This window comes from Homo sapiens, chromosome 17, assembly GCF_000001405.40.
Source record: "Homo sapiens chromosome 17, GRCh38.p14 Primary Assembly".
In the NCBI taxonomy this organism is placed as follows: domain Eukaryota; kingdom Metazoa; phylum Chordata; class Mammalia; order Primates; family Hominidae; genus Homo; species Homo sapiens.
In genome coordinates this window covers 45,715,268-45,743,016 of record NC_000017.11, presented here as the reverse complement: position 1 = coordinate 45,743,016, position 27,749 = coordinate 45,715,268, and the positions used below count along the sequence as shown (strand labels likewise).

At 45.9% G+C, this 27,749-nt stretch overlaps 1 protein-coding gene and 1 long non-coding RNA gene across 3 annotated transcripts in view, besides 1 other annotated feature; one reads left to right on the top strand and one right to left on the bottom strand.

The window, feature by feature from the left end:
• Positions 1-27,749, bottom strand: part of LINC02210-CRHR1 (LINC02210-CRHR1 readthrough) — a 215,483-nt gene that overhangs the window by 92,812 nt on the left and 94,922 nt on the right. The window lies entirely within an intron of this gene.
• LOC107985028 (uncharacterized) lies at positions 8,338-11,361 on the top strand. Its single transcript, XR_001752915.2, has 2 exons — positions 8,338-8,733; positions 11,073-11,361. It is a non-coding gene; the product is annotated as an uncharacterized LOC107985028 (long non-coding RNA).
• Positions 22,920-23,214: an enhancer, noted in NCBI's record as "tiled region #9533; HepG2 Activating DNase unmatched - State 20:ReprD, and K562 Activating DNase unmatched - State 20:ReprD". NCBI's record gives its function as "activates a minimal TATA promoter and a strong SV40 promoter by Sharpr-MPRA in HepG2 and K562 cells {active_cell/tissue: HepG2 | K562}" and the evidence as "EXISTENCE:reporter gene assay evidence [ECO:0000049][PMID:27701403]".

Sequence of the window (27,749 nt, the reverse complement as noted above, 5' to 3'; positions counted from 1 at the left end):
AAATTTTAGAAGTGAGACTCTTAAGGGGACAGTGACCTGCCTTGGTAAGCAGGTGGTTAGTAGCAGAGAACCCAGAACTCCTGACTCTAGATCCATCTTTACCTTCTACCTTTCCCCATTATATTATCCTAGGAAAGAAACCAAAGCTCACAGAAAGGATATCTAACATCAGCCCAGATTATCGAACATTATATGCCAGGAAATGTCCTCAGCTTCTCCATAGTTTTAGGGTTAATCTTCCAAGCAATCCTATGAAGAGGGCACCTTATCTTAATAAGGAAACTGAGGCACAGAGAAGCTAAGCAACAAACTCATGGTCATTCAGCTCCTCAGGGACAGAGGGAGGATTTGTACCCTGGCCTTCTGAGTTATCTGCTGGCTCTGCAGCCTCTCCAGTCCTTAGTTCCCACCCTAGAGGGGACAAATCAGAGCTTTTCAACCTGTCTGGAACTGTTAGTCATCATGACCTCCATGGTTCAGCTTGACTGCACTAAAAGATCCTGATGGCTTCCAAAATGACAGCTATTTCCCTTTGCAGAGCTTTGCGCACTTTCTCCCACACCTTAACAGGACTCCCTTAGAGGATAGTTTCAGGCAGGACCAGCTTCATGGGAATGCCACCTGTGCAGTCAGGCAGAGCCACATGCTTAGAAGGAGTCTGCCTTTGGCCTAATGCATTCTTAATATTTCTTGAAGAAGTGCCCTGCATTTTTATGTGCACTGGGCTCTGCAAATTATGTAGCCCATCCTGATTTCAAAGTTAGCAACCTTCACCTGAAGGGGGGTGGCGGTGGTGGTGCTACTGCACTAGAAGGATGGACACCCAAGGTCTTGTTGGCAGCAGGGCACCTTGGGATGATGGGGATGCCACCTGCTTCTTCCCATTCCACTTTCCCCAGACAGAGGTGCGAGGTGAGCTTGGAGCAGGGCAGCGTTCTCATATTCACATTCTCTCTCTCTCTCTCTCTCCCTCCTTCTCCCATCTCCCCGTCTCCCCGCCTCTCCTTCCTGCAGGCTGTAAATGAACCAGACAAGGCCAGGTGGAGGTGATGCTCCTTCCGGGCCCAGAGTTGAAGACCTACCCTTAGGTTTCCTTGACAGCCTTAGTTTCTTTCTGACTCTGCTGGGCTTGCAACCAAAGGCAGCCCATCTGGCTGTGCCAGGGGTAAGAAAAGACATGATTTAGCGCCATAACAATTTTAACATCAGGCAAAACAGATGCCATGTGAGAGAGACTCAAGGTAGAACAGTACATGGCAGATAAAAGAAATGACCTAATTAGATCTCAAACATACAACCTTGAGTTTAAAAAAGGCATTTTGCTGTGTGATATGTAACTGCGCCACCCTCTGTGTAAAACAAGCCACACATACACACACACGTGCTGACACACAATATATATTTCCCATGAGCCCACGCATATATGTGAAAAAAAATTTTTAAGTGTGAAAGGATCACACCAAATTCATATAGTACTTGTTGCCTCTGAAACTGAGGTGGGTTGTCAGAGGGAAGATTATCTGTGACCATCTAACAATTTATAAAAGATAATCACTCGAGTGGTTTTCTTTTAAGCACAGATGCTCCAACTGTGGGACAAGGGAGGGTTGTCCATCCATCCCTTCCTCCCTGGGGTTCTGGTAGTGCCTAGCCCCAATGGATTGCACAGCATGCTGCAGTTGATGGAGCACCCTCGCCTCCCTTGTCTTAGGTGATGCCCAGAGCAATGCCTTGTGGGGGTAGGGCAGGTATAATTATTATTCCCATTTTACAGAGGAGGCAACAGAGTCAGAAAGGTTGAGTGACTTGCTCACACACGCAAAGCCAGTAAGCAGCAGATGGGGACTCTTTTGTCCTCCAAGCTGAGTCAGACACAGAGGGGGTGGAATGGCCGGGGCCCAAGTGCTATTTATTCCCCATGGCTATTTAGGGTTTGCAGGATATGTTTTCCCTCTAGGCAGATATAGTTTCTCCTAGACCCACTTTGAGCCTCCAAACAGACAAGGGATGTGCTAACCCTTCTCCTGAACCACAAAGGTGATGCCCTCTCTACCTGCCTTATGGTGCTGGGAGACACACTCAAACAGAAGCAGCCAAAGTAGAGACTTCTTTTCCTCTGATACCAGTCCAGCTCGCTGCCTGCCCAGACTAAAGCTTCAGGTTCCCTTGCAAGAAGAATCCCAGCCTGCCGCATCCTCTTTTCCTGATTGGTTCTCCCTCTCTGGCTCCTCTTCCTCCTTTCAGGCCACTGAGTGGCTCCTCCTCTCACCTTCCTGGCCACTGATTGGCTCCCTTTCTCAGGTTCCTCCCCCCATCTTTCTGACCCCTGATTGGCTCCCCTTCTCTGGCTCCTCCCTCCTTCCTGGACCTGCCTTTCTGTCTTCCACCAGAGGTTGCCCTAGGCTGCTGGACTTGGTGAACTTTTAGGTAAGTGGGTCTGGAGATATCAGTGACACACTGGCCATATAAAAACCGGCTGGAGCCCGTTACACAGCCAGAAGCCAGGACCCCAGGCCCACAGATGCTGATTCAATAGGTTTGTGGTGGAGCCCAGGGATCTGTAGTTTATAAAAACAAGTCCCAGGTAATGCTGACATTCAATGCAATTGAGAAATCACCCATCTAGTCCAAACCTTTAAGTCAAAAACAGGCAAACCCAGGCCTAAAAAGGCTAAATTACTTGTCCAAGGCCACACAGCTAATCAACTGAAACTGAATATTGGGCAGCTCCTGGTCCCCACATGACACCTCTCCCCACCCCGCAGATACACACACACACCTCACGCACCTCCTCCAGATTTGACTGGCTCGGCTTCTGTCCTGAGGCCTGACTAAGATCTGGTCCCTTTACTTCTAGGCCACAGGACCCAAAGTCCAGGCCAGAGCAGTCCCTGTGGAACAGGAGCGGGACAGCAATTTCTTGGTGAAAGGTGTTACACCGCAGGGGCTAAGGCCTGGCATTATTCTGCTGCCTGGGTGGAGCCCAGGTCACACACCAAGCAGTGAGGAAACCTGAGCTGCCCCTCCCTGTTCCCAACTGTCCCAGGAGGCCCCAGGGGCCTGGTCCCACAGCCACTCTCCCCAAGATTCAGGTGTCACATAACTGGGCCCCAAGCCAGGCCTCTGGTTCTCAGGCAACTCTCCCCCTCCCTGGGGCCTGCAGGAATCTCAAGAGATTGCAGTTTCCTCTGTTAGAAATGGCTGGAAACCTTAGGAGGGCAGAGGGAGGGTGCTGAGGCAGCAGGACCCCCTCCTGGGCCCCAAGTGATCCTTTCCCACTACCAACAAGCCCTGAGCAGACGAAGTGTTCCAGGTCCTGCCACTGTGGACTGCTGCCACTTGGACCCTTCACTGCCAACCCTGTGCCCCCACTACTCCTTCTGCCTTGGCCCTTGTCCTGATTCTGCTCAACACACTTGTCACACCTTCCCAAAAACTGCAGTTCTGAAGTTCGTAGTGTGCAGGGGAATTATGAGAGCCAGCCCTTCTGCTTCTGGAAAATTGCTATTGTGACTATACCCACTCTTCTCTGGCACTCAGGAAGGGGAGACAGCAGAGATAGAAAGAAGGGCTCTGAAAGTCTGAGGTACAATATCAAGTACCAGCTGAACAAAGCTGGAACTCGCACACATTGCTTGGTAATGCAAAATGACGCACAGTTTTGAAAACAATTTGGCAGTTTCTTATAAAGTTGAACATGTACTCACCATACAAATTAGCAATGCCAGTCATAGGTATTTGAGTAGCATTTCGTTTCCCAAGGGAAACGAAAACCATTTACATACAAAGACCTGTTTGTGAATGTTTATACAGACTTCATTTATAATCACCAAAAACAGGGAACTCCCCAAATGTCCTTCAGCTGGTAAATGGATAAATAAACTGGTACATCCATACAATGTATAAATGGCTGCTCAGTTTGTTTATCCATTTACCAGTTGTCCACCACATTAACATGATTATATCAATTGATGCTGAAAAGTCAACACCCATTAAACAACAATTCAATACTCATCCATTATAAAATTCAAAGAAAAATTGGAATAGAACTTTCTCAACTTGATGAAAAGCATCAACGAGAACCCTACAGCTAACATTATACTTAATGGTGAAAGACTGAATGCTTTTGCCTTAGATGAAAACAAAGCAAAAATGTCTGCTGTCACCACTTTTATATGACATAGTGCTGTGAAAGTTTTAGCCAGTGCAATAAGGCAAGAAATTAAAAGGCATACAGATTAAAAAGGAAGAAATAAAAACTGTTCCTATTTGAAAAGAACATGATTGCTTTTGTAGAAGTTCCCAAGGGATATACAAAATATTAGTACTAGTAAGTGAATTCAGCAAGGTCACAGAATACGAGATAAACATACAAAAATCTGTTGTATTCCTATGTACTAGAAATGAACACCTGGATATCAAAATTAAAAATACAATACCATGTGCAACTACAAAAAGAAAAAGAAGAGATACTTAAGTGTAAATCTACAGGATTTGTATGCTGAAAACTACAAAAAGAAGATTAAACAAGTCAAAGAACAGCTAAATAAATGGAGAGATGTATTATGTTCATGGATTGAAAGATTCAACATAGTAAAGATGTTGACTTACTCCGCAAAAGGATATATGAGTTTAATGCAATTCCTTTTAAAATCTTGCAAAAGTTTTTGTAGCTATACACAATATTACTCTAAAATTTATGTGGAAAGACAAAGGAACTAGAATAGCTATCTTAGTCTGTTTTGTGTTGCTATAAAGAAATACTAGAGGCTGGGTAATTTTTAAAGAAAAATGGTTTATTTGGCTCATGATTCTCATGGCTACAAGTTCAAGATTAGGCATCTGCATCCGACGAGGGCCTCAGGCTACTTCTGCTCATAGCAGAAGGCAAAAGGGAGCCAGAGTGTGCAGAGATGGCATTGTGAGAGAGAGGAGGAAAAGGAGGGTGTGCTAGGCTCTTTTAACAACCAGCTCTCACAGGAATTAATTGAATGAGAACTCACTCACTCCAGAGAAGGCCATTAATCTATTCATGAGAGATCCACCTCTATGACCAAAACACCCATTAGGCCCCACCTCCAACATTGAGAATTAAATTTCAACATGAGATTTAGATGAGACAAACATCCAAACCATAGGAATAGCAATTTTGGAAAAAAAAAAGAATAAATTGGGAGGAATCAGTCCATCTCATATCAAGCTACAGTAATCACTGTATAGCTACAGTAAGACTGAATGTTATTGGCATACAAGATACAAGATAACTTACAAGACTGTATGTTATTGGCAGAGAGATATACATCAATGGAACAGAATGGAGAAACCAGAAATAGACCCACACAAATATGCCCAACTAATTTTTGACAAACGTACAAAACTAATTCAATGGAGGAAAATAGCCTTTTCAACAAATGGTGCTAAAAAAAAAAAAAGCCTCTAAGTCTTACGTACGCCTTATACTAAAATTAACTCAAAATGGATCATTAACTTAAATGTAGAACATAAAACTATAAAACTTCTGAAAAAACAGGAGGAAGTCTTCAGGATGTAGGTCTATGCAAAGAGTTCTTAGGTTCAACACCCAAAGCATCACCCATAAAAGGAAAAATTAATAAATTGGACTTCATCACAAAAGCTTCTGTTTTGTGAAAGGCCCATTAAAAAGCATTAAAAAGATGAAAAAAAGCTACATACTGGGAAAAATATTTGCAAACCATATATCCAACAAAGAACTAGTATGTAGAATATATAAAGAACACTCAAAACTCAGCAGTCAGAAAACGAACAATCCAATTAGAAAATAGGTAAGAGACATAAAGACATATTTCACCAAAGAAGACATCATATGGCAAATAGCACATAAAAAGATGCTCATTGTTCATCATTAAGGGAATGCAAGTTACAATCACAATGAGAATCACTATGTACCTATCAGGATGGCTAACATAAAACAGTAATAATACTAAATGCTGACAAGGATTCAGAGAAACTGAGTCACTCATACATTGCTGGTGGGAATGTAAAATGGTACAGGCACCGTGGAAAACAGTTTGGCAGTTTCTTTCAAAAACTAAACATACAACTACTGTACAACCCAGCAATTGTACTTCTGGGCATTTATCCCAGAGAAATGAAGACTTGTATATAAATGTTTATAGATGCTTTATTTATTTGTATTAGCCCCAGACTGAAAATGATCCACTTGTCCTTCAACACAGAAATGATTAAATAAACTGGGGTATATCCTACCATGATCTAATACTCAGTGACACTGTTAGGCTTTGTGTCCCCATCCAAATTTCATCTTAAATTGTAATCCCGAGGTATTGAGGAAGAGAACTGGTAGGAGGTGATTGGATCACAGGGACAGTTTCCCCTATGCTTCTCTCATGATAGTGAGTTCTCACGAGATCTAATGGTTTTATAAGACAGTTTTCCCTGCACTTGCTCACTGTCTCTCACCTGCTGCCGTGTAATATGTGCCTGCTCCCCCTTCTGCCAAGATTGTAAGTTTCCTGAGGCCTCCCCAGCCATGTGGAACTGTGAGTCAATTAAACCTCATTTGTTTATAAATTACCCAGTCTCGGGTAGTAGCTTTATAGCAGTGTGAGAATGGATTAATACAGTCAGAAAGAACTACTGATACACAAAACAACCTGGATGAATCTCCAGAGAATTATGCTGAGTGAGAAAAGCCAATCCCCCAAAGTTACATATGATTCCATTTATATAACATTCTGGAAATGACAACATTATGGAAATGGATAACAGATCAGTGGTTGCCATCAGTTAAGGAGAAGATAGGGATGGGAGGGAAGTAGATATGGCTATAAAAGGGCAACATGAAGATCCTCATGGTGATAGAAACGTTCTGTATCCTGACTGTGTTAACATCAATATCTTGGTTGTAATATTATAGTTTTGCAAGTTGCTATCATGGGAAACTGAGTAGAGGATTCCCCAATTACCTCAAAATTTAAAATTTTAGGTAAGAAAATTTAAACTTTGAAGACAGAAAAAAGATAAAACGCTGCTGCTTCTCCAAGATAAAATAAGAATGGCCATGGCTTCCCGACAATCACCTGGACTTACCTGAAACAGACTCATTGAATCAGGAGAATTGGCTTCCAGGTTCTACAGCCTCTCTTCCTCCCTCCAACACGAGTAAGCCCTCTGTAGTCTCTCCTCCTTTCCCCCACCAAAATGTAAAAAAGCTGATAAAGCACTAATACTAATCATAAATAATTGTTCAGACAGTGAGTGCATACTCACAAAGGGATGTGCATTTTAATGGGAACAAGTCATAGTAAGCTAAAAAATGAACCACCAATAGTGAAATTGCTGATACAGCAGGCAGAGGTAGGAAGACATTTAAGATGGCTGGAAAAGGAAGAACTTCCTTGAACTCTGAAAATCCATCAGGCCTGCAGGCTGGGTTGATTCATCAGGCCAGCTGTGCCCAATAGGTAGAGTGGAGAGATTTAAACACCAGGGTAGGGGACAGGAAATGGCAGAATGAAGATATCAGTAGTGTAGTGCTCCAGGATTGGATGGGAATGATTAGAAAGAAAGAGAATTGAGATTTGAAAGGTAAAAGATATTTATTCATTTGCCTAGGACGTTTCACCACTTTAAAAATTAATTAAATTTGTTAGAGATGACATCTCACTATGTTGCTGTATTAGTCTGTTTTCATACTGCTATAAAGAACTGCCCAAGACTGGGTAATTTATAAAGGAAAGAGGTTTAATTGACTCACGGTTCTGCACAGCTGGGGAAGCCTTGGCAAACTTACAATCATGGTGGAAGGTGAAGGAGAAGCAAGGCACCTTCTTCACAAGGCAGCAGGAAGGAGAAGTGCCAAGCGAAGTGGGAAGAGGCCCTTATAAAACCATCAGATCTTGTGAGAGCTCACTCACTATCACGAGAACAGCATGGGGGAATTGCCCCCATGATTCAATTATCTCCACCTGGTCTCTCCCTCGACATGTGGGGATTATGGAGATTATAATTCAAGATGAGATTTGGGTGGGGACACAAAGCCTAACCATATCAGTTGCCCGGGCCAGTCATGAACTTTCACCACTGTTTTCTGCAAAGCACTGTGCATTCCCATTCTAGTTAGGCGATCTAAATGTAAAGTGGCCATTTTGGAACAATTATTGGCCTGGGTGTGATCACCTGATCCAGCCCTGACCAATCATAGTACCTTTCTACCTCTGAGTTTCAATAATTGGTTGAGAAGGTGATGGGTAATTCAAGCCTAGCCAATTGGAGTCTTCTCCTATTGGTTGGTTGGTTGGTTGTAACTGGAATTGGAGTTTTGTCTACTGTGATGAAACTGAGAGTATTAGGCCTTGGACCAGCAGCACGGGAGAAGCTATCTAACTAAGCAGGGAGCTGACACCTAGAGAACCAGGCAGTAGGAGGGATGCCTGGTGGCCCCAGAGTCCCTGGTTTAAGTCATTCCTGAGGCTGGCTGCATTCTTGTCCAGCCAGTGGTTTGGATACTGGAGTCAATAAGTAATCCCCATACTCCCCTTTCCCAGAAGCCCGAGCAAAGCTGGCTCTGTACGCAGGATGAGGGGAGGCTTGTGTGTGTGTGTGCGCTGTGGGTTCCTGATCAGAAAGTTCTACCCCATCTGATGAGCCCTGGCAAAAAAGTCATCAGAGATGGTACTGAGGCTCTGAAAGCCTACGTGCTGGGGAGGAAGATCCCAAGGAAGCAATAAGGTAGGAACCATCTTTTCACTTATGGAGCACCTGAGCTGCACTGGATAGCACACTCCAGTGTAAATGTTATTAGTCCATTTTTCAGAGGAGAAAACTGAGGCTCACACAAGTAAAGTCAGTTGTTCGAGGTAACATGGTAATAAGAGGCAGGCTTGGTATGGGACCCAGTCATTTCTTACTTCCAAGCTAGTTTCTTTCTAGTTGGCCACCCTATTCTCCAGGAGCCTCCCATTCTCTTAGCAAGGCACAGCTGCTTATTTAAAGATTACCCAAAGCTTTTGACCAGCTCAGACATCTCAGGACTCTGAATCTCATAACCACAGGGGTCCTGGGAGGCAAGTGCCAATCCAATGAGCCTTAGAGGCTACTATTTAGAGCCAGATATGAGACGGTGTCCAGGCTGAATATGAGACCCTGGGAAATTACTTAACCTCCCTGAACCTCAGTTTCCCTATTTCTATCTGAGTTAATAATAGTAACTGCCTCCTATGGTTGTTGGTGAGACAATGAATGAAAGGTGCTTAGCATATATGAGCAGCCTTTGGTCCTTATGAAAGAGAAACCCAGAGTCCCCTGTTTCCAAGTCAGCACTCAGATGTCCCTAATCCCCCAGCCTCTGACCTTCTCCCTCCTCCCAATTTCAGCCCCGGCCAGGCCATTCCTGTCTAAACTTTTCCAAATGTCACTCTTTTTTTTTCTTTTTTCTTTTTTATGCTTTTTGTCTTTATCTAGGTGACATTTTTCTTTTCTTCCGCAGGGATTGTTATAAGAACAGGTGTGAAAATAACAACAGAGTCTCTGGCCAGGCCCCTCCTGAACAGTGGGAGGATATTTTGGCCTAGAGACAGCCACAGAGAGTCCCAAGGGCGTGGGGGTCAGGGGAGGGATTGAGCTAAGGGAATGCTGGGGCAATTCTACAGCTAGGTCAAAGGGCAGGCCTCCCTCTCCAGAAAGGACTCCACTGACATAATCTCAAGTATGATGAGTCAATAAAATCCAGCTCTGGAATTCTTGGCAAAGCTGAAGCCTTCCCTGTCCACAAGAGACTGTGTTGGGTGGCTCAGTTTGGTCAGTCCTGATCATCTCCCGTCTGGGTGGAGAGACCAAGAGGCAGAGCTGGCAGCGACAGACCCCCCCACAGCCAGGCTCTCCCAGGGCTCCAGGCCCCTCAACCTTGCGTGGCTGTGCTTGGTGAACTCACTCGTCTTCACAGGGGTGTGAGGACTGTCTTCATCTCAGAATCCTCCACAGAGGCCGGTACCTGTGAGACATCAATTACAGCCTCAGTAAGGGTTGAATCAAGTGACAGAAAACCCTGCTGTCTGGAAAAAGGAAGAGGAGGACCTTCTGAGAGGAGATATGAGTCACTGGCAGAAGACTCCATTCACAAACATGACTCCCCATTGTCTGCCTCACACACAGTGCCCTCTCCCATTCTCCAGGAACTGGCCATCCTCAACCATGGGTCCCAGCTAAAACCCCGGGGCTTAGCTCACTGGACCAAAGAGCATCTGACTGAAGCTTGCCAGTCAGATTCTTTTCTCCTAGGAATGTGAACTTTTAACCTGAGAGACATAGCAGGTGAGAGGCATAAATGGTGACCCCTGGAAGGAAGGTCCATGGGCACAGGGTGAAACCACCTTTACAAAAAGTGCATCAGTGAGAGAAATCTAAGCTAACTGACTCCAACTTCACAAGCTAACTGCCTTTGTTAACTTTAAAACAGAGATGATAACAATCCCTTCCCAAAACTAACCCCCTTCTTGCTTGATGACCAAAACTGCCTCTGTAAGGCTGTGTATGGCGGCTCACGCCTGTAATCCCAGCACTTTGGGAGGCCGAGGCAGATGGATTACTTGAGGTCAGGAGTTCCAGACTAGCCTGGCCAACATGGTGAAACCTTGTCTCTGCTAAAAATACAAAAATTAGCTGGACATGGTGGTGCATGCCTGTAATTCTAGCTACTCCAGAGGCTGAGGCAGAAGAATCACTTGAACCCAGGAGGCAGAAGTTGTAGTGAGCCGAGATAGTGCCACTGCACTCTAGCCTGGGCAACAGAGCAAAACGTCGTCTCAAAAAACAAAAAAAAACAAAACTGCCTTTGTAAGACTAATGAAAGTCCACAAGATTAGGATCATAGGAGAGGCCTGAATTCTGCTAAGATGCAGGTGTAGTTAAATGATAACCAGCCATTGTTCCCTAGCTTGAATTTCTGTAATCATTTACTGCTCCAGAGATCACAATATTTGTAAATTCCCCAATTGCTCTGATAGATGACATCACTATTGTAAAAATGAAAGATTGGTCTTTGAGATATTTTTTGGACTTTTGCATTCTAGTAACAGACTGACTTCACCTGGGCCCATAACTCATACCAAGGAACTAATTCAACTGCTTCTGTGACTTCCACCCAGGAACTGACTCAACACAAGAAGACAGCTTCAACCCTCTGTAATTTCATCCCTGGCCCAACCAATCAGCATCCCCCATTCCCTAGCCCCTTGACTGCCAAACTATCTTTGAAAAACCCTAACCTTTGAGCTTTTGGGGAGGGTGATTTGAGTAATAAACTCCCATCCTTCCACTTAACTAGCCCTGTGATTATTAAACTCTTTCTCTACTGCGGTACTGCTGTCTCAGTGGATTGGTTTTATCTGTACAGTGAGCAAACAAGAGCACCATGGTTTCCAGAGCTGCTTCTGTTGCTCTTCCTCCCAAGGCCTATGTTGTTAGCTAAAAGCCATAGTCTCTCCCTGATATAGTTTGAATATATGGCCCTGCCAAATCTCATGTTGAATTGTAATTCCCAATGTTGAAGGTGGGGTCTGGTGAGAGGTATTTGGGTCATGGGGGCAGATTGCTCATGGCCTGGTATTGTCCTTGTGATAGTGAGTGAGTGCTCATTAGATCTGGTTGTTTGAATGTGTGGCACACCCTACAATCCACTCTCCCTCTTGCTCCTGCTTTTGCCCTATGATGTGCCTACTTCTGCTTTGCTTTCTGCCATGAATGAAAGTTCCCTGAGGCCTCCCCAGAAGCTGAACAGATGCTGGGGCTATGTTTGTACAGCCAGAAGAACCACAAGTCAACCAAACCTCTTTTCTTTATAAATTACTCAGCCTCAGGTATTTATTTATAGCAACACAAAGAATGGCCTAATACACTCTCCAGTTCATCCCCTCTTGTGGCTTGAGCTGGCTAAAGTTTATCTGTGTTGCTTTCAAGCAAAAGAACCTTAACTTTCATTCCCATGGACCCTTCAGAGGCCAGCCTGTAGCCCAGTGTGATACAGATGTGCCTCTGTCATCCAGATGTGAGAACAAGGTGGCAGCTAGAGGTAATTAGGGTCCCATGAACCATGGGCTGTGTGCTTCTTTCTACAATCCCAGGGAGCTTGAAAGAAGGGACATTCCAGCCATGGGCCTTCTGGAGGAAGTGAGCTCAGAGGAAAGAGCGCTAGATTGGAAGTTGGGAAGCCCAAGTCCTAGGCTTAATTCAACCCCTGACTTGCTGTGTGACCTGGGATTCTTCTCACTGTATATCTGGGCCTCTTGTTCTTTTATCCTTTCTAAGTCTCCTCTCCAGTGGGTTCTTGGGCACCTCTTTTCCTGTCCCAGTCTTCCCTTCAAACTTGTCCCTCTCTTCCCTTCCATTCTGCCCCAGTGTGCACACACACATGCACACTCACAAATGTTCTCTGTCTCTTCTGTCTCCTTCCTTCCTTCCTTCCTTCCTTCCTTCCTTCCTTCCTTCCTTCCTTCCTTCCTTTCCCTTCTTCCTTCCTTCCTTCCTTCTCATAAGATGCCTTAAATTAGATGCATCATTTTGGTGTTTGGTGAGAAGCCAGGGGCTGTATCAGTCAGGGTGGGTGAGGTTGGGCTGTAGTAACAAGCAGCCCCCAAATTTCAATGGGTTTCTGACTCATGCCACCTGCCCATGATAAGTCCACCAGCTTTTACTCATCCTTACCCCAAGGCCTGGAATGACAGAGTAGCCACCCCCAGGGAAATTGCCAGTTGGTTGGCCAACGGACTGTCATGACAGCAGGAAAGAGGAACATGGCTGATCCAGAAACAACAGTGTGAGCGCAATCGTTTATTTGGGAGGTGCAGGAAACACTGGTATCAAGTAGAAAAGTGCAACTGGGAAGGGAAAGCAGCTAATACAAGATGCATATGAAGCCAGGTACCTCTGTGGGTGAATGAACTTAATCCCGTGGGATACCCCAGGGAAAGAGTGAGGAGCACATACTGCAGAGTGATCCCACCTGCAGCATGGAGCGAGGGAGCCTGGGTATTTGTGTCTCAATTCCCCAGAGTCACTGACTGAGAGCTGATGAAGGTGATAATGTGTAATTCCCCTGCACTTCTGGCTGGTAGTGCATGTAGGCTGAGCTGTCTTTTTTGGGCCTGGAGAAATCCCTCAGGCACAGAGATGCAGACACTGGCAGGTAGAATTCAGCAGGGAGGGTCCAAGGGACACTGACAGAATCAGCCTCAAAGGTGAATCAGGCACAAGCTTTTCAACCTTCCACCCGGAAGTGACATGTACCACTTCCACTCACATCATTTGTTAAAGCAAGTCACGTGGGCAGGCAGAACTTCAAAAGCATGGAGGATGCAATCCTACCGTGTACCTAGATGGAGATGCAACCAGAATGTTTGTGCTTGGTCCACGGACAAGCACAAGGACCCAATCCACTTGCACACTGCAGGCATAGAAAGCAACTGGACTGCACCTGCCAGGAAACATCAACACTCCTGCCACTGCCCACATTTGGTCTCCTGCTGGAACTGCTTCCAGCTCCTCCCTTCCCCCACCTCTCCACGTTGGCTTTCCTCCTGCTGTTTTCTCCCACTCTCTTCTCAGCAACAGTCACTTCCAGTTGGCCCTTGGCCCTCCCAACACACAAGTCCTAGGGGAATTCCTCAGCTCCTCCTGGCCACCTCTCAGTCATAATAACTGAAAACATTGTGAGGAGAAAATTGCATAGGCATCCACTTTTTATTCTTCTTCTCCTCACCCCCATGTGAGGGGAACTATCATCAGTTTGACAGATGAGGTAACTGAGGCACAGAGAAAGTGACTATGCAACTGTGTATCACTTTCTCTGTGCCTCAGTTTCCTCATCTGTGTGTCATGCAGTGAAACACCTGAGCAGGATCATGGATACACTTGAGCTCAAGGATACATGGATCGTGGTAGACCTGGGAGTGGAAAGTCAGGTCTCCTGGCTCCTAGCCCAGCGCTCACCCTTTCCCCACATGTGGCTTTTCTGGGGTCAAGTCCTGATTCCACCTACATCCTAGGGCCACCAGCACTACCTCACTTCACCATTCTAACTGCCAAGCACTCATTTCACAACTCCATGCCTTCGCATGTGCCGTCCCCTCCTCCTTCAATGCCCTCCATCTCCAACAACCAGAGGGCACCCCAGAAGTTGTCCATCTCCCTCCAGGCCACAAGTGCAGGCGCCCCTGGGTCCTCTCCCTGCAGGCTGGATGTGCCAGCAGATGAATTCCTTCCACTTGTGACTACAGCCACTCCAATGCCAATTCCATGGCTCATCACCCCAATGCTGGGAACGCTCCCCTCCTCTTGGTCAGCCCACTCCACTAGTTCAATTACCTGCCCCGGTGAAGTTCCATGTGGCTGTCAACCTCAGCAGCTGGCAGCCAGCCCCAAGCTCCACAGCTGGCTCAGCCCCACTCCCTCTCTTGGGAGGGCAGCAACAAGAACCTTCCTGCTTAAACCACCCTCCTGGGCTCTGGTGCAGGCAACCCATGGACACTAGCCTGGGCTTTCTTGTGGAGCTATCCCTACATAGGACAGAATCTGCAGTTCCCAGACATCTGTTGTGCCAGGATGTTCCACACTAACCTGCATTATCCCCTTTTGTCTTCAGCATACAACACTCAACTTACAGAGGAGAAAAAGGAAAGAGAAATGGATAAAGATGCAGAGAAAACAGTGATCATTGATCCACTCAGAGAATATTTATTGAGGACTTACTATGTGCCAGTCACTCTTCTAGACACCAGGATAGACAGACACAGGGAGGAGCTATATAATAAATATTTTAACAAAGACATATTTCTGATAGACTGGTAAGTCATTGATAACTTCTCTGGAGAAAAATAGCACAGGGAAGGTGATGCCTGGTGAGGGTGGGCCTGCCTAAAAGGGGAGTCGGGGCTTCTCCCTCTGAGGAGATAAAATTTGACCAGAAATCTGGCAAAACTGAGAAAAAACATCATGTAAAGCTTTGTGGAAGAGCATTCCAGGAGGAGGGAACACGGCCTGGCCAAGGCACTAGATGGGAATGAGCTTGGAGTCTGAGGAGCTACGAGAAGGTGGTGTGGTGGGGCACAGTGAGGGAGAGGGTGAGCAGGCATGGGTTTGGACTGAGGTCGACTGATGTAGGGCCTCGTGTTAGGATAAGCCAGCTGCTGTAAAAAAAAAAAAAAAAAACCCAAGTTTCAGTGACGTGACACAATAAAGAATCAATTTTTGCTTGTGTAGTAGTTCAGTTAGTGTTGTCACAAGACAGGTACAGGAGTTCTGATTCGCATACTTGGGGATCCAGGCATCTTCCACTGTGTGACTCTGCCATTTCCTCAGGGTCCTCACTGGATGTCCATCCAGCTGGCATGTGGGGAAAGTGTGGAGAAGGCACACTGCTCTCAACCACTTCGACCTGGGTTAACACATGTCACCTCCACTCACACTCCATTGACAAGAATAAGGCATAAGTCTCCGCATCCACCATCACCCCACCCACGCAAAGAAGCAGAGAAATGTGGCACAGCAGGGAGCCTGGGACAAAGAGGAGAATGTAGAGTTTGGTGAGCACTGGCTGCCTCTGCTGTAGGCCTGGAAGGCTTTGAGGAGGCACTTGGATTTTATTCTAGAAGTGATGAGAAGCTGTTGGAAAGTTGAGACCAGAGGAGTGAAATGATTTGGTTGGTGTTTTAGTCTCCACGGGCTGCCGGGGAGGAAAGGCTAGGAGTGGTGGTTGGAGTAAAGCATCGCCCAATGTTGCTCAGCTAGTTCAGTGGTACAGTTGGAATTTGAACTTGGCCTGTCTGGCTCTAGAGCCCTTGGGCTTCACCCCTGTGTCTGCTGCCTCTTGGAGTGTGATGTACAGATGTCAGCTCTTTCCTGGACAATTGCAGTAATCGGCCTTCCAACCCATCTTGTGGCATCCTGGAGAGGACTGGGCATGGTAGGTAGAGGACAGATGTATTAGTCCATTTTCACATGGCTATAAAGAAATATCCAAGACTAGGTAATTTACAAAGGAAAGAGGTTTAATTGACTCACAGTTCCACATGGCTGGGGAGACCTCAGGAAACTTACAATCATGGCAAAAGGGGAAGGGGAAGCAAAGACCTTCACACGGTGGCAAGAGAGAGAAGAAAGCACATGTAGGAGGGACTGTCAAACACTTATAAAACCATATGATCTCCTGAGAACTCACTATTGTGAGAATAGCATGGGGGAAACCCCCCCATGATCCAATCACCTCCCTCCCTTGACATGTGGGGATTACAAGTCCCTCCCTCCACATGCGGGGATTACAATTCAAGATGAGATTTGAGTGCGCACAGAAAGCCTGACCATATCAACAGGTTTTCTCAAAGTCCGGCTTGGAGTCTAAATGAGGCTCAGCACTTAGCCAATACAGGACCTCTGTTGCCTTGCTCAGCCTGTTTCCCACAAAACATGAGCTACATGATGTCAACAGGGTGGTCATGAGCATCAGATGAGACACTGCAGAGGAAGTGGGCGGGGGTCACAGTGCCTCTACACTGGAGTATCCAGAGGCAGCCTTCTAGTAGCCTTGGGAAGGAGGCCCCCGATCCCCAATGTTTGATTTCCTTTTCCTTGTCCTTTTGGTTTAAGGTTTTGCCTCCTCTTACCAGGCAAAGTCTCTAAAAGAGGCAGCACATTTCAAAGTCCCTGTCAATCCTCTAGGGAAATCACTTCAGTGAATCCTTCTTAGAAGCCTGCTTGAATGGTCTTGGGGCCCAATCCAGGGGGAAGAGAAGTGCCAGCAAGAAGAAAAATGACCCTCAAATTAGAGCCAAAGAGCCTCATTCCCTCTTGGGTAATTTTGCCTGCTCTCTCATTCAGAATTCTCTCATATTCCTTGAGTCCATTTGGGGAATGAGAAGTTGGCCAAATTCTGGCCTCTCTGAGCACCTAATTGTGCCTCCCAGTCTGAGGCTCAAAATCTGGAGTTTTTCTGATGCATAATATTCACAATGATTCAAAAGAGGAAAGCTCTGAAGAGATTATTAAAATCTCTGACCTAAACTTGTTCCTGGCTGAGCACATTTTGACAAGTTGAATAGTGATGGAATGAAGAGCTCTGGATGAATAAAAAGGGATGCTGACAAGTTTGCACGGAAGATAAAGCCCAACGGCACAGATCTGGGGCAGTGGGGTGCCTGCTGGGGGTGTTTAGTGGCCATGTTAGGGGTCTGGAGCTAGAGAACCAAAGGGAGAAGCTGGGGAGGGTCAGCCAGGAGCCTTGAAAAACACCTGACAGAGTATCCCCTGAGAACACACAGTGCCAGCAGCTGAGATCCGGCAGATAAATGTGGAGAGAAGGAGCAAGAGACAGGAAGGACAAGAGAGGAAAAGGGAAAAATTAGAAAAAGGAATTAAAGAACGCATGAAAGACAGTGAGATTTCAGAGTCCATTGGCCATCCTGAGAAGCCCTCCCACTGCACAACACCTAGAAATGCTGGACAAAATACAACAAACACCCTTCTTGTGAGCGCTAAACTCACAGGAAAATGATGGCAATCTTCAGGGGTCCCAAATGAGAAGAGAACAGGAAGTAAGAATGCTAAGATGACACTGAGGGTGAAAGCTCCCCTTGAGGCATTAGCTCAGTTACTTCACAGAGTCTTGAATTTTAAAGTCCACATGGGGACTCAAGCAATGTGAGAAGGTGGAAGTGAGACCACAGCATAAAATCTAGATCCTTGAAAGGTTACATTTGGAGGGAAAAGTAGACTCATCAGCAAAGAGGGACTGAAGGAAATATGTCTGTCTTGATCTGGGCTCTGAGTTGAAAAAAACCAGCCTTCACTGAGAATTTGGAATCATAGAGTCATAGGCTCTTCTCCTCTGAGGGTTGGGGTTTTAAGGTAGACTGCATATGTGATTTGGAAAACTCCAAACTGAGAAATTTACTTACAAAGTGGGATCAGGTTGGTAGCACTCAGGAGTGTTAATGTTAATCCTCTTTGAAGCTGACACTTTTTTTTTTTTTTTAAGACAGAGTGGCTCTGTAGCCCAGGCTGGAATGCACTGGCATGATCTCAGCTCACTGCAACCTCCTTCTCCCAGGCTCAAGCAATCCTTCTGCCTCAGCCTCCCAAGTAGCTGGGACTACAGGCATGTGCCACCACTCCTGGCTAATTTTTTTTGTATGTTTGGTAGAGATGGGGTTTCACCATATTACCCAGGCTGGTCTCAAACTCCTGACCTCAAGTGATCTGCCCATCTCAGCCTCCCAAAGTGCTGGGATTACAGGCATGAGCCACTACGCCCAGCCCTGAAGCTGACGCTTTTAAGTCATACTTAACAGGATTCTCACAGAGAGAGGTTGTGAATATGAGCTCACAACCTACAATTACAAGGTACACGATAAAATAAACCACCTTGAGTGAAAAATCAGCAGATAAAACAAACAGCAGAATTAGACCTTCAGAAGACCTCAGCTATTGAAATTATAAAATTCAGACTATAAAATAAATATGCTTAAATTAAAGAAAAATACTTGAAAATATAAAAAGCTCTTGCCAAACATTATCCTGCTTCAGCCTCATAAAAACTCTGGGGTTTGCAGGTGAAATTGCATTTGCTCCATTTTTTCAATGAAGAGATACTCAGAGCAGAAGTGAGGAGACCTACTCAGGACCACACAATTAGTAACTGGCAGGACATGAAATCTAGGTCTTCCACCTGCAAAACCAATGCATGCTTCTTGTTTTATCTTCCACCTGTTTTTCAAATGCATGCTCAAGGGCCATTTGGGCCGAAGATGGCTTAGCATGGGTGAAGTGCTCATGGGCTAGTGTAGGCAAAGAAGGCAGGAATGTATACCATTGTCCTTATCCATAACCCAGTCTGGTGTGTCCTGACCCATGGAACTTGGAAACTCCATCCTGTTTATCCTAGGGATTCTGTACTCAGTGAGGGAAGAGGTAAAACAGTGAGAGTGAGGGGTGTGTTGAGGGAAAGAAAGAAGGAGGGGAAAGAAGAGTGAGGGAGAGATGGTAAATAGTGGAGAAATGCTGCTAAAAAGACATTGTCACAAGAAGGGACTGGCAGAGGAAAAATACAAACTTTTGGGTTGACATAGTTTTGAAAGCTACAGAGACTGCTGGTAATTTATGAAATTATATATTCTCTTTCTTCCTCAGTAATACAGTTGGATTTGAGCATGTGCGAACCTGGCTAAGAACCACATTAGTCAGCCTCCGTGGCAGTTAGATGTGACCACAGCCCTAAGTTCTCATCAACAGAATGTGAGCAAAAAGGGTGCTCACTTCCAGGCTGGAACCCTGGCCTGAATGTTCATGTTTCCCCAGAATTGTGTTGATACCTGATCCCCAATACAATAGTATTAAGAGTTGGGGACTGTGGAAGACGATTAGGTGATGAGGGCTCCACCTTTTTTAAGGAATTAATGCCCTTATAAAAGAGGCCCAAGGGAGCTTGTTCCCTTCTTCCACCATTCCACCATGCAAAGCCAGCGAGAAGGTGCCATCTATGAGGCGGAGAGTGAGACCTTACCAGGCACCGAATCTGCTGCCACCTTGATCTTGAACTTCCCAGCTTCTAGAACTGTGAGCAATAAATTTCTGTTGTTTATAAGCTACCCAGTCTAAGGTATTTTTGTACAGCAGCATGAATGGACTAAGATAAGCCCTAAGACAGCGGGTATGCCTCCATGGACACCTAAACTAGGGGTCAACAGAGCCACACCACAGAAGGAATCTGGATCCCTGTTCTTCTGTGTGAGTGAAGTCACCCACTGACTTGAAATATCCACCTGATTAGAGGAAAGAGAATTCAACTTCTATCTTCTGAGTTTTTGTTAGGTGGTTTGTGACAACAGCCTGGCTTATACTAACTAATACACCAAGGAAAATCCCCAGCTGATTACTGAGAGGGAGTCAGATGCAAAACTCTACAACACACTGGCATGAACCAAAATCCATGAAGGATAAGGGGTCTGTCACAGGTGATGTAATAGAAGTGTCATTGTCACCTGTTTTACGCTGCTGCAGGGTTACAGTTTTTCCTAATTTGGTTTTTTCCTTTTTATTTTTTCATGAGACAGTTTTCACTCTGTCACCCAGGCTGGAGTGCAGTGGCACAATCATGGCTTACTGCAGCCTGGAACTCCCAGGCTCAAGCAATTCTCCCACTTCAACCTCCTGAACAGCTGGGACCACATGTGCACGCCACCACGCCTGGCTGATTTTTAAATTGTGTTGTAGAGATGGGGTCTCACATGCTGCCCAGGCTGGTCTTGAACTCCTGGGTTCAAGCGATCCTCCTGCCTCTGCCTCCCAAAGGGCTGGGATTACAGGTGTGAGCCACCACGCCTGGCTGGTTTTTTCTTTTTTAAATACTATTTCAACACATATAGAACTTGGACTTTTATTTCACGACTTACATCACGGCTTTCATGTACTTGTGACCATTCTCACGTTTCTAATGTCGTGAAGTGTTGTATTTTTCCCTCTGAGGCACTTTGAAAGCAAGTGCTTTTACTGGGGGCTCCACCGCTACACGGACGATGGAGGGCAGCGCTGGGCCAGGAAGAGCCCAGCTGGGCCAGCCTGGTGGTGAGGAGTGTTTTGCTCTCCCGGCTGCTTCCATCTCTGGGCTGTCTCTCCCCCTGCTGGACAGTGGCCTCAGGCTGGGTCCCAGGGAGACTGTCTAAAGCCACTGTCCTTCTAAAGATGAGCTGTGTGTGAAGTGCCAGGAGAGTAGACTGTCAGCCCCACCCCATGAAGACCTGCTGAGCAGAAGGCACAGGAGTGGCCCCCCTGGGGAGGCCTGAGAGTGCTTCATACAAATCATGCCAACTCCATCTGTGGGAAAAGACTTTGGAGGGTCTCACCCCGTCTCCACTGTGGTGCTGGGGACGGTGACAAGGGCCTTATAGCCCTTTCACAAAAGCAAAGCAAGTCAGAGCCAGAAGGGCCTTCAGACACTCCTCAATCCAACCTTCTCCATCTACAGAATGGAAATTGAGGCCAAGAGCAGGGAAGGAACTTCCAGATAGAGCTTAAGTCTCGGGTCCCCGGCAAGAACATTTTCTGCTAAAGCCGGCCAGCTCCCTACAGAGTTGTATAGGCAGCTTCATTTCCACAGCCCATTTTGTATTAAAAAAGCAAACCACAAACAACATTCCATCCGCTCTAACTGAAAATAAACGCAGGCCCTCAAGATGCTGGCCCCTGAGCTCATTAAAAGCAAGGTTTCCTGACTCTCTGGAAGGAAGACGACTTCCACACCCTGGTGGGATACTGAATGTGCCCTGTGGTACACAGGAGGAGACCTAGACTAGGTGACAGACCAGTGGCTAGAAGCCAATGACCTGGATTCTGGTGTTAAATAAAATGTATGGGAGGGCATTGATTTGGACTAAGCTCCTGCACTAGGCTCTAATAGCTCAACCCAAAATGGAGTCACTCATGCTAAGGTTACATGACCAAACCGAAACCTAAGTTGTTTACTTATGAGATCTGACCTTCCAAGAAATCAGGAGAGAGATGGTAGCCAAATCCCCAAACAGGCCAGTTTTAGTTGGCTGAAGAAGAAAGTCTCTGCATTAACCCTTACGAGGAAAGTAACCTGAAGTAACCTAATGTTAACCAATCTTCTTTTTTGTACTATGCTGTTTTCTTGTTCCTGCTCAAGTTACCATACAAAAACCAACTGTCCTTGGCCAGGTGCAGTGGCTCATGCCTGTAATCCCAGCACGTTGAGAAGCCAAGGCAGGAAGATTGCTTGAAGCCAGGAGTTTTGAGACTAGCCTAGGTAATGTAGTGAGACCCTGGCTCTATAAAAGAAAAAAATTTAAAATTGGCTGGGCATGGTGATGTGCGCCTATAGTCTCAGCTACTCAGGAGGCTGAGGTGGGAGGATCACTTGAGCCCAGGAGTTCGAGGCTGCTGTAGTGAGGCATAATTGTGCCACTGCACTTCATCCTGGGTGACAGAGTGAGGCCCTGTCTCAAAACAAAGCAAAATAACAACAACAAATCTCAAACAACTGTTCTGCCAATGGGGTGGAGCACCTTTCTAGACATTTCCTAGATGGAATACTGCCTGATTCATAAATCCCTAATAAAAGTCAATTAGATGACAGTGTCATTGGGCCTTATTATTAAACTTACTAAACTCAACTTGTTGAAATTTGGTTCTTTGACGCAGGTCACACCTAGAACTTCGTGTGGCTGTGGGACCCTCGGGTGCCCTTTCTGAGCTTTGAAATTTCAGGGAGAAATTTCAGAGGGAATTGGATCCGGTGATATTCCATGATTCTAATTGCAGAGGAAGGAAACGTTTTTAGGCCAATAGGGCAGGCAAAGCAGTATCCTGTTTCCCGGTCAGCCCAGCCCAGAAGACAGCAGAGAGAAGAGCCAGCTTGAGCGGGGGCACAGGGAAGAGGTCTTCCCAGCCACCCTGTACGGGGGCTCTGAAGCCGGGCACTGCAGCAGAGAAAAACTGTGGCACAGGGTCCGTTTGCGGAGCACGTGGGCCTGCTGGGTCTGGGAGTGTCTTCCCACAGGGGTGTCTTCCTGGTGTGAGAAGTCATTTGCCAGGGGCTCTAGCTGGAAGCGAGTGAAGCTCTTGACAGAGAACCCGCAGGCCCATTTTTGCCCGTGCACTCATCATCCACCCTTTCTTGCAACCCTGACAAGGCTGAATGTGGCCCAAACTCGGGCTCCTGCAGGCCTAGCTTCCTTCCGCAGTGCCAGCATCGCCCCTATCCTGGGCATCCCCTGACTCTGTGCCCACTGTTCCCAGGGCTGAGCTCCCTGCCACTTTCTTTGGTCTGGAGAATTACAGCTCCTAATGAAACACAGCCACAACACCCCTGTGCCAGGATATGCTTCTGTTGTAGCCCAGGATGTAAAACTACTTCATACACTCTCAAAATTAGCTTCCGACTCCTCTCCATGAGTAAATGCACAGCAGTCTATTCAAAACCCCACACTGTGGTTTCCTGGGAGGTAGGGATCATTTGTAACCAGAAGGAACATGAGACTGCACCTCTGGTGGCCAGCCTGAGAAGACAGTTGGAGTTTCTGGCTTTCATTCCATTTCTGTCTGTCTTCCACTCAGCCAGGGCAGCTTGCTGACTGAAGTCCTATGCGCATGACTCAGAGGCAGACTGACTCCCTCTAACCACATCTTCCATCAGTTCCAGGCCACCCCCAACCTGCCTTAGGCTCAAGCCTTCCAGCTGGCCTCCACCTCCTCTCCCACCCACCATTTTCCAATCTCCGCAAGGAACCCTCCCTGCAGCCTTGATTTCTGATGCTTCATCTCTCTCTGTCTCTTCTCCCCCAGAGTGTCTTCAGTCCTTTCTGCCAGGAAGCCTCTTCTTCCTTGCTTCAAAATTCTCTTCCACCTCTCCTTTTTCTCTTGCTTCTTCTTCCCCTCTCTGCCTTTTCCACTGAAGCCCTCCTTGATTAAGCAGGAGAGAAAGGAGAACATTCCTGAGCCACCTGTAACTGTGCAGCATGACATCATTCTTTCTGCTGGACTCTGCATACCAGGACCAGAGGAGGCAGGTGGCATCCCCTGCTCACCCACACCAGCTGTACCGGTTCTTCCTTTTTGGAATTAGTAAAGCCCATTCTAAAGTTTATAGAGAAAAATAACCAAGCAAGAATAGGCATATTCTAAAAAAGAATAGTGAGGGGGCCCAGACCTACCAGATATTTAAAACAGTATAAAGAAATGGCAATTAAAACAACACGAGTAGATAGATCAATGGAACAGAAAAAAAAAGTATAGAATGAAACCAGAAAGAAACACCAATCTGGTATGTGGTAAAGAATGTGTTTCAAATCACTGGGGATACGATGGATTACGTATTTTAAAAATTGAACAACTCAGTAGTTATCTGGAAAACAAAGTTGCTCTAAAAAAAGCCTCTCTTTACCCAAAAACTAGAGCAAATGCAATCTCATTTGCATGCCCCAAAGAATTTTTATGGGGCTGAATTTCGTAACTAATTGGCATTAAAGAAAAAATACTTGAAAACATACGAAGCACTTGCCCAAACATTGTACCTTATCTAAATCTCAGATGCTTTAAAGTCTTAAATATATAAATGAGTCATAAAAATACTACCGAGAGATTTTAAAAATTAAATGGAGATGGAAAGACCTTTAAAAAATAGGGTACAAAACCTAGAAAGCATAAAGAAAAAGTTGACAAATTTGACTATATAAAAGTCATATTTCCTCCAGGGGAAAAATATCATAAGCAAACAACAAACTGGCATCTCTTTGAACAGGGAAAGGGTTTAGTTTTATATATATATATATGAAGATTCCTCCAGAGCCATAAGAACAGTTCACAGTGTGGTATGGTGGCTCATGCCTATAATCCTAGCACTTTGGGAGGCCAAGGTGGGTGGATTGCTTGAGCCTAGGAGTCTGAGACCAGCCTGGGCAACATGGCAAAACCCTGTCTCTACAAAAAATACAAAAATTAGCCAGGTTTGGTGGCACTGTCTGTAGTCCCAGCTACTCAGGAGGCTGAGGTGGGAGGATTGCTTGAGCCTGGGAGGCAGAGGTTGCAGTGAGCTGAGATCATGCCACTGCACTCCAGCCTGGGCAATAGAGTGAGACCCTGTCTTAAAAAAAAAAAAAAAAAAGGAAAAACCTCACAAGAAGCAAAAAAGAAGAAGAAGAAGGAGGCAGAGGAGGAGGAGGAGAAGGAAGAGGAGAATGAGGAGGAGGAGAAGGAGGAGAAGGAGAAGAAGAGTTCACAAAGAAGAACTAGTGGTTTTTAAACAGGTGAAAAAACGTTCAACCTCACTCATAAAAGAAATGCAAATTATGCTACAAGGGGATAGTGTTTTTTCACCTGTCAAATCAGCAAAGTAACATATCCTCATACATTGCTGGTGAGAGTGTAAATTAGTACAATCTCTGAAGAAGGTAAGTTGGCTCTATCAGAATTAAACATGTATATGCCCTCTGACCCAGAAATTCTCCTCCTAGTTATTTATCCCACAGATTAAATGTAAAAGGGTGTATATGCAGGGCTGTTGTATTGAAGCATCTCTTGAAAAACAAGATAAATGGCTAAGGGAGGAATTGACTAAATGAATTATCTGTAAAATAGAATACAAGCAACTGTTTAAAAACTGTGGCTACTAGGCTAGGTGCAATGGCTCACGCCTGTAATCCCAGCACTTTGGGAGGCCGAGATGGACAGATCGCTTGAGCTCAGGAGTTTGAGACCAACCTGAGCAACATGGCAAAACCCCATCTCTACAAAAAAAAAAAAAAAATATATATATATATATATATATACATATATACATATATATATATACATATATACATATATATATATATACACATATATACATATATATATACACACATATATATGTATATGTATATATATATGTATATGTGTATATATATATATGTATATATATATATACAAAAATTAGCTGGGTGTGGTGGCTCATGCCTGTAGTCCCAGCTACTCAGGAAACTGAAGCAGGAGGATCGTGTGAGCCCAGGAGGCAGAGATTGCAGTGAGCCGAGATCGCGCCATTGCACTCCAGCCTGGGCAACAGGGTGAGACCCTGTCTCTAAATAAATAAATAAATAAAAACTGTTGCAACTCTCTCTGTGTGCTGAAAGATCTTCAGGATAAGTGAAAAAATCAAGGAGCCAAAAAAAAAAAACCCACAAAGTATATGCATGGTGTGTAACTGTGTTACCTGTTCCAGGAAAATAAAAGTAATTTTCACACATATGCATTTATCGACACAGGCTGTCTCTGAAAGGATCTGTGAGAAAGTGGAACGGTGGCTAATGTGGGGTGGGGCTGTGTGTCTGGAAAGAAAAGGACACTTTCCACAGGATACCCTTTTGTAGGTTTTAGATTTTGTTCTAACAAATGAAATCATTTAAAAGCAACAAAACCCAGTTCTTCCTGCAGTCTCCCTGAGCTTTCCTGGCACGGTGGATCCTCATTTCTTGTTGATTCTTTGCTGCTGGCCTCATTTCAAAGCCCACTCTGATGATCCATCCCCACCACTCTCGAAAAAAAACCGGCCAGGCGCAGTGGCCTATAATTTCAGCACTTCGGGAGGCCGAGGCGGGCGGATCACTTGAGGTCAGGAGTTCGAGACCAGCCTCGCCAACATGGTAAAACCCCATCTCTACTAAAAATACAAAAATTAGCCGGGTGTGATGGCTCTTGCCTGTAGTCTCAGCTACTTGGGAGGCTGAGGCAGGAGAATCGCTTGAACCTGGGAAGCTGAGGTTGCAGTGAGCCGAGATCACGCCACTGCTCTCCAGCCTGTGCGACAGAGTGAGACTCCTTCTAAAAACAAACAAACAAAACAAACAAACAAACAAAGCATGCATTTCCCATGGAGGGAGTTCCTGGAACCCTCCTGGGCTTCACCACTACCCTCTGGAAGAGACCCCCTCCAACATCCGCTGGCGGGTAGATGAAGCCACAGCCACTGAAACAAATGAGACAGTTAAGCTGCCCCCTCCTCCCACCCCACCCCCCAGCAACTTCCATACATCCGGCTGTTTCAAAGAGCAGACAAGGCCAAGGCCAGGACAATCCCTCAGATCAGATTCCTTGGTGTGTGTGTGAATGTTAGTGTGTGTGTGTATGCTCACACCCGTGTGTGTGGAGGCAGGTCTGGGGGCAAAAGGAGAAGGAAATCCACCCACATCAGCGTGCATTTTCCCAGCTGAGAAGTGCCACATCACTAGTAGAAAATGGGAACAGGTCCCATGGAGCTTATGATTGTCCCGAGGCATCTGGCAAGATTCCTGTTGGGCTTGGAAAGTCATTCCTCCTTCCCATCGGCATTCCCTAATCCCTTGCTGGGACCACCTAGCTCAGGCTGGGGTGCAGCATGCCACTCAAGGGAGGGGAGCACACAAAGGCAAGCCGCATGGTCCTCACTTGGAAGAGCAGCCTACAGGAACTGCGGGGGAGCTGAGAGACCAGGCTGATGGTTCCCAAACATTAAAAATACAGGTTCCCAGGGCCCATCCCATCCACTGAAGCAGAGCCTCCAGAAAGTGGGGTCAAGGATTCAGCATTTTAAATATTTTTCCAGATGATGCTGATGTAGCCTATCCAAGAGGTGCTGTCTGGGGTCTTGAACCAGGGCAAGCCACTTATGGGCAGGTAGGGAAACTGAGTCCCATAGAAAAGAAGTGATTCACCAAGGTCACCCAGAGAACTAGAAAAGAGCTGGCAGAGTGTCACCCACAGTCAAGCCTGTGCTGCAGGATGGCTGAACACAGACCAAAGGCCCCACAGAAGTGCCCAGGATTGATGGGCTGGCATTTCAGAAGAGTAGGAGGCAGCCTGGGTGGTGTTGGGGTGACTGAGGGACCCCCCAACTTCAAAACCTTAAGGGGAGAAGAAAGAGGAGTTCACATTTCTTGAGCATCTACTATGTGCCACATATACATTGCTAAACAATGGTGCTGTGTTGCTTTGCACCCAGCGTTCACATAATCCTTACCACAGGTAGGCATCATTCATACCCACTGTGCAGACAAGGGAACTCAGGCTGCAAAGTCCTAAAGTCAGTGAAGCTCAGAGCAGGTCGCCAACCCTGAGGGGTGTGGCTCTGATCCCAGTCTTTTCACTGCTTTCCCCAAGGCCTCAGTCCACTCTCTGCCACTCACTTAAGGCAGTAGGCACGAGACGGTGCTATAGGTTGAATGTTTGTTCTC